The sequence below is a fragment of the Homo sapiens genome, chromosome 13 (genome assembly GCF_000001405.40).
Source record: "Homo sapiens chromosome 13, GRCh38.p14 Primary Assembly".
Taxonomy (NCBI): Eukaryota; Metazoa; Chordata; class Mammalia; order Primates; family Hominidae; genus Homo; species Homo sapiens.
The window spans coordinates 45,848,202-45,854,201 of NC_000013.11; the positions used below are offsets into that span (position 1 = coordinate 45,848,202).

General features: G+C 44.8%; 1 protein-coding gene across 1 annotated transcript in view, besides 1 other annotated feature; it reads right to left on the reverse strand.

Moving 5' to 3' along the window:
• Positions 1-3,552, reverse strand: part of SIAH3 (siah E3 ubiquitin protein ligase family member 3) — a 74,512-nt gene extending 70,960 nt beyond the window's left edge. Inside the window, exon 1 of the mRNA NM_198849.3 lies at positions 3,294-3,552. Within this exon, the coding sequence (NP_942146.2) occupies positions 3,294-3,428 (135 nt within the window). The 5' untranslated portion in view covers positions 3,429-3,552. The remainder of the gene's footprint in view (positions 1-3,293) is intronic.
• Positions 2,124-2,661: an enhancer, noted in NCBI's record as "H3K4me1 hESC enhancer chr13:46424460-46424997 (GRCh37/hg19 assembly coordinates)". NCBI's record gives its function as "activates a minimal SCP1, AML or CMV promoter by ChIP-STARR-seq in primed H9 embryonic stem cells {active_cell/tissue: H9 hESC(primed)}" and the evidence as "EXISTENCE:reporter gene assay evidence [ECO:0000049][PMID:30033119]".
• Positions 3,553-6,000: the final 2,448 nt, after the last annotated feature.

Here is a 6,000-nt window from a genome sequence, read left to right on the forward strand (position 1 = left end):
AGCTGGCTCCTTGACGGTCACTTTTCATGGGGTGGAAAGAAGTGGGGGCACCATTTGGAACCCTAATCTGTGCAAGTGGTCCTCAGAGACAGAGACAGGCAGAGACTGAGGGAAATGGTCTTGTTTGCACTCCACTGCCTGGCACTCACTGAAAGCTGAGGTCTCTTATGTTCAAGGCTGGCTACTCTAAATGTCCCTTTTAATTAGGGTGAGCTTCAGGGGTGTAATGGCTTTAACCAGAGGATCTGATGTCCCCAGGAAGGCTCTGCCTTCCATTTAGAAGGAAAGGCATCAGCTTGCTCGAAGGAATCCCAGGTTACTGAGTAATCACCATAATAAGATTGAGAATGAAGGTGACCTATAGAAGCATGGTAAATACACAATTTTCTTTGCTTGGTAAGTGAATTTTGATTATAACTCAGCACTTGCCTCAGTTTCTAAAATGCTGTTGGTTCGAATTCTCAGGAAAGCCCAGGAAAGGATAAAACACATAAATGCTTCCACAAGGAAAAACACAAGCTTCCCAGCCCTCTTTGTAGCTACACGCAACCCATAAAATTGAAAGCAAGGTTGCAGTCTCTCTGTCCTTGGTCACCATTTCATATACTGGCCTGTCATACAAAATGTGGGGAAGCACGGCAGATCAATAGCTATTCTGGGTTAATACTGCCACAGGTTTTATTTTTTTCCTTTAACAAAAGAAGGACTTTCCTCCTCATTACATAGATCACAGCTTATTACGTCCAAGGCATATTTCCGTGGTCTGTTTATGGAAATCAGCGTTTAGAAGGAGAATTTTTTTGAGGTTACATGTGCTTTTTATACAAGCAATGGGGCAGTGACACTCCTATGGAGTTAGTCCTTTTAAAGCTCTGCAAATGGCTATTAGCCCTTAGGTTTGAGAAGGGAGTGAAACTTACCTGATGGGCCACCTGGACCCTCCAGGTCTCTCCCTACCTGGCGCCCTCTCCAAATCCTGTGTGCCTAATCCTGAGGGGGCATTAGCAGCACTCAACTTGCTTTGTTTATCTGGGGTGATGTTCCTCTGAGCAAAATCCATAAGTGGTTTTTTTGTGTGCGAAATGAAAAGCCAAATAAGAGTGTAAGTGAAAAAGTGAGCTATGTCCTCTCAAAGCATACGTCATCCATTTTTATGTTGCTGATTATACAATTTCTAAATTGCCTGAAGGTGTTAAGTGACAACTTTTGAATTTGCTATTGGAACTCTACAAATTATATATACAATAACATACATTATTTTTAGAGGAGAGTTATGAAACACCTCTGATACCTCTTTTCAGTCTCAAAAGCTGAGGCGGAGAAAGGGCAGATGTTCATCAGCCCATTTAAAAGGTGAGGAAGGGAAGTCTCAAAGAGGTGGAGGAGGAGTTCAAGTTCACACAGCTGGCCAGAGATGACTCAAGGCCTCCAACCCTGACTCTGAACTCCTGGGTCAGGGCAGCAAGACGACTTGTCAAAATCCAGGCAGACATCATTGAGAAATATACACAAGTGGTTTCCCCTCACTCCACACAGAGACCTTAACACCTCTCTATTCTCCATCATCAGCTGCAGTCAATGAACCATATAAATGCAAACTTCAGAAATGCTAAAGTCTCATAAGCAATTTTTAAAGGTATTAAAATACAAAACAGAAGTAAACAAAATTTCTTGCCCCAGGGAACTAACTAATCCAAAGTGGAAAAAATAATGGAAGTTTGAATGCAGTCTCAAAAGTGGCCATAAAATGGAATTCAGAATTTTATTTTAATGTGCATACTACATACTTGCTTTGCCAAGGATGACTGGTAGTAAATTCTCATTTATAAAACTAAGCTATAAAAGAAAAAAAGAAATAGTGGAATGAGAGGCAAGAGCGCGCAAGCAAGAGCAGGTGTGAACGGTTGCATGCGATGGCATTCGTCACAGCTGGGATATCAGAGAGAGTCAGATCCTAGGTCAGATGCACCATAGGGGTCCCAGGATAGTCCATCGCCCCTCCCCCAGGACTGGCCTTGGCATGTAACCCCAGCAGCTCCAGGCAGCTGTCTTTCGGCGGAACTTCTAGGAGTGGGGGCACCCATCAGCGCTGACCTGCGGGGCTCCAGCTGAGGACAGTCCGGCCGTGGGAGTTTATAAAGTAATGGACAACAGGCAATGCTCTTCCTGCCCAACAGCAGTGGTCAGAGGGACAGATCTATCCTCACAGAGACTGTCAGGCACTGTCGCTACAGACACGGCCCCTCCCCCGGCACTCAGTCCTGCCTGCCTTACACAGGAGTACAGGAAAGGAACTTCCAATGAGTCCATCTTTTATGTTAGGAGAGAGGCAAGGTGCTGAGTTTCCCATCCGGGGAGTTCAGCTGCACCCTCTCCCCAGCCCCCACCTCCCTGACTTCCCCTCCTCCCTACTACCCCTAACCAGTGGCCCATCATTCCTTTCCCAGTCAGTCTTGGCTGTGATGTTAAGCGGCTCTGCCGGACCCCATATTTTGTCTGGTCTCTAAAAGGGCACTGACCTGAGGGTACAAATGCAGAGGCCCCGGGGCAGCTAGGCAGCCGCGAGCAACCCAGCACCCAGCTGCCTAGGGTGCTCCAGGCAGCGGCGGCAGCAGCTAGAAGCTGGTGTCATTATTACACAAGCCAGGCAAATCCTGCTCCAGTACACAGAGCGCATCTAACCAGCAGGAAGGAAATAAGCCAAAATCCTCCCGACACCACACACACACACACACACACACACACACACACACACACACACACGAGTCTGAGGACAAGGACAAACACTTTGCAGAAAGAACCCTCCCCCCACCCCACCGACGTCCAAGTCCCTGTTTCAGGATTCCTCACCCCCCAGTAGCTTCTAAAATCCTCGTGTTTGACCACCTCTCCCAACACATGGGACAGAGAGAATTTGGCTAACTTCAAATCCTGTCTCCTGAGCACTTGCCCACAAATAGTAGGGGGAGTGATGGGGACGCCCCCCTGTTCCCTCCACCACCCTCACTTCTGCCCCCCACGCCACTCTCAGGTTGACAGCGTCGGGGAAAGACATCAGACCATCAATCCAGCTTTTCCTGCCAGCTGGGGAAACAACACTCGGTCACTAACAGCACCCAATCACCTAGAGAGCGAGAGTGAGCCGAGGCAAACACGCCGGGTTCCAGACACCGTCCCAGCCCCCGAGACCCGGGTTTGCAAAGGGCTGCACACGTTCGCCGGAGGGTCGCTGCCGCCTCCGAGAAAGGACTTGAACCTGAGCCCGGTGAAGGTAAAATGACACAGAGACTCACCTTTAGGTTGTGTGTGGGGTTGACGACACAGACAAGTTGCCCGGCAGCGGAGAAAACCCGTTTAGCCTTGTAGTGCTGAAACCGGAGATGAATGAGATCTAATACAGCCCCAAAGCACTGGGTAAAGAAAAGCATCACAACTTTTGGGGGGTTGTTGGTCCGGGAAGGCAGCGGAGGAAGCTGTGAGTCCTTGGGCCCTGGAAGGAGCGCAGCCTCTGAGACACTCCGCTCCAGCCCGGCTTAGCGCGCCTTCATATTCATCATCAAAATAAGACGGTTAGAATCTTGCAGCAGTGAGGCGGCCAATCAAAAGGACAGAAATGTTATCCTTGAGGTGCAGAGACAGCCAATAACAAATGCCTTCCCTACCGAAACTCCCTGATGAATTGAGCCTGGCGGAGAATGTATTATTGAACATTACCATAGATCAGCACATTGCATTTATCTTGTGATTACAGCCAACCATACCTAATGCTGGGGAGATAGGCTGACAAAATTGATTGCTTAATGTGTCTCCATTTATTAATTGACTTAATTTAACATGAGAGCCTTTCTTAATGCCCTGGCAAGAACGTAAAGCGTTTAAGCCGCCAAATAGTACAACACCCCGCTCCAAAGTAGGCAGATGGATAACGCAGATCATGGCTCGACTCACCAGAGCTGCTTGGGAGAAAATAAAATATTACTAGACTCTGAATCCAGATAAGGACTTGGCAGCAGCAAAAATGTGTATCTTTCAATCTTGCGTTCTGACTTTCTGCAATTTGGATTACAGCCCCTTGATAAATCTTACTCTCCACTCTTTATCAAAGAAAAGAATCCCTGACAAATTCATTTGGAGTTGAGGGGTGGAGGGAAGCACATACATATATATTACTATACATATATATATATTTTCTTTTTTTCAAAATACTGTGATTACTGAAGTCTGAAAGTATTAAAGGATAAAAATGCACAGAGTATGCTTCAAAAAATAATGAAATCCCTGATGCATGAATGCACACACACAGAAAAACCTACACTGAGAGGAAAGAGGCTTGTAAATCAGCAAAATAATTACAGATGCAGAGAACCTTTGCTTGTCATTCATTTGCATATTGGTGGGCAGCAAATTGCTAATTAACCACTAGATTGCTGGAGACATTAAAATAGAGATTAAGGATGCACATACCACATCATTTACTTGTTTCTGCAAATGCTAGCAGCACATTTCTGTGCTGGCACAGGCAGAGGGCATTCCAGTCCTCAGACTGCAAACCTGTCCTTGCTCCCCAGAACAGGGCTGGTGGGTGGGCGGGAGGCCGCTGGTTCTTGAAGAAAGATTCCTAAGCAGTACTTGAAGGGTTTTGGGTTTTTCGGGACTAGCTCTGATGGTTTAGTCTTTGCAGCTAAAGCAGGGGAGTTCAGTGTATTGTGTTTTCCCTCTTCCCTGGTTGTTTCTCTCTTGAGAAGTCAGGCCAGATCCAGTGCTGCCTGGAGCAGGATCAGCCCCCACTGTGAATTGTACCCTGTGAGTGTGAGCCCCCTCCCTCATGGCTCTTGTTCTGCTCTGGCTACAATGCTTGGGTTGTAATGTATGCAAAACATATGCACACGTGGAACACCTAGGTCTGTGACCTGGTCAGGCAGTTAAACTAACAACAGAATAACATACGGGATAAAAATAATGCACAAGTTTATTGATGCCAGGACAGAGCCCAGGCTGTTCATTTTAACTTGCATTTAAAACCAAACCAATGTTTTAAGAGACAAGCTGAACACCAATTAAACATGGAAACTTTGCACTTTTAAAATAACGACACTGGCACCAAACTAGAAGATGACAACATTTGAACTGATTAGAACCTCATCAATGTGATATTTTTATAGGACCTGAGTCCCTGGAGCCACTTGTTACATGGCATATAATAAAGGTTGCTGGCCCACAAAACCAGAATCTGCTTTCTAAAGTTTGAATTGTCCAGAAAATAAGCTTTCAGCAGTTCATTGGGAAAACATTTAATGTCCTTTCATTGGCTTACTTGTTTTAAAAACTAAAAGTGTGCAGATACTCTCATAGATTCCTTAAAGATATATTCATAATTTAGAAAGGTTCAAATTATTTTTACATCTTTGGCTCTAGTGGAACGATTGTGTTGATTTTTTGTTCTGTTTTGTTTCATTTTTCTTTACTTTTTAAAGATGTATTGTTTCCGTCATCCTGCTAGAAGTAAGTTCCATGAGAATGGGGATTTCTGCTGTTTTTTTTTTTTTTTTGGAAAGGTATTTTTAAAATAAAATGATTGTACACAAAATAAGGATGCCAGCAAATAGGTCAAAGATCTATAACTTTGTGTTGATAATCTCATGCTTGTGCTTAAGATATAAAAATCAATGCTCCTTTAATTTTATCTTGATTTTTAAGAAATTAAAGACCTAATGTTTTTAGAGTAGTTTTAGGTTCACAGCAAAATTGAGAGGAAAGTACAGAAATACCTCATTTTGCCCCTACCCCCACACCTGCACCACCTCCCCTATTATCAACACCCCCCCACTATAGGGGTGCATTTGTTACAATTAATGAACCCACATTGACGCATCACCATCATCCAGAGTTCATAGTTTATACTAGGCTCACTCTTGGTGTTGTACATTCTACGGGTTTGAACAAATGTCAAATGACCCAAATCCATTGTTAGAGTAACATACAGAGTATTTTCACTGCTCT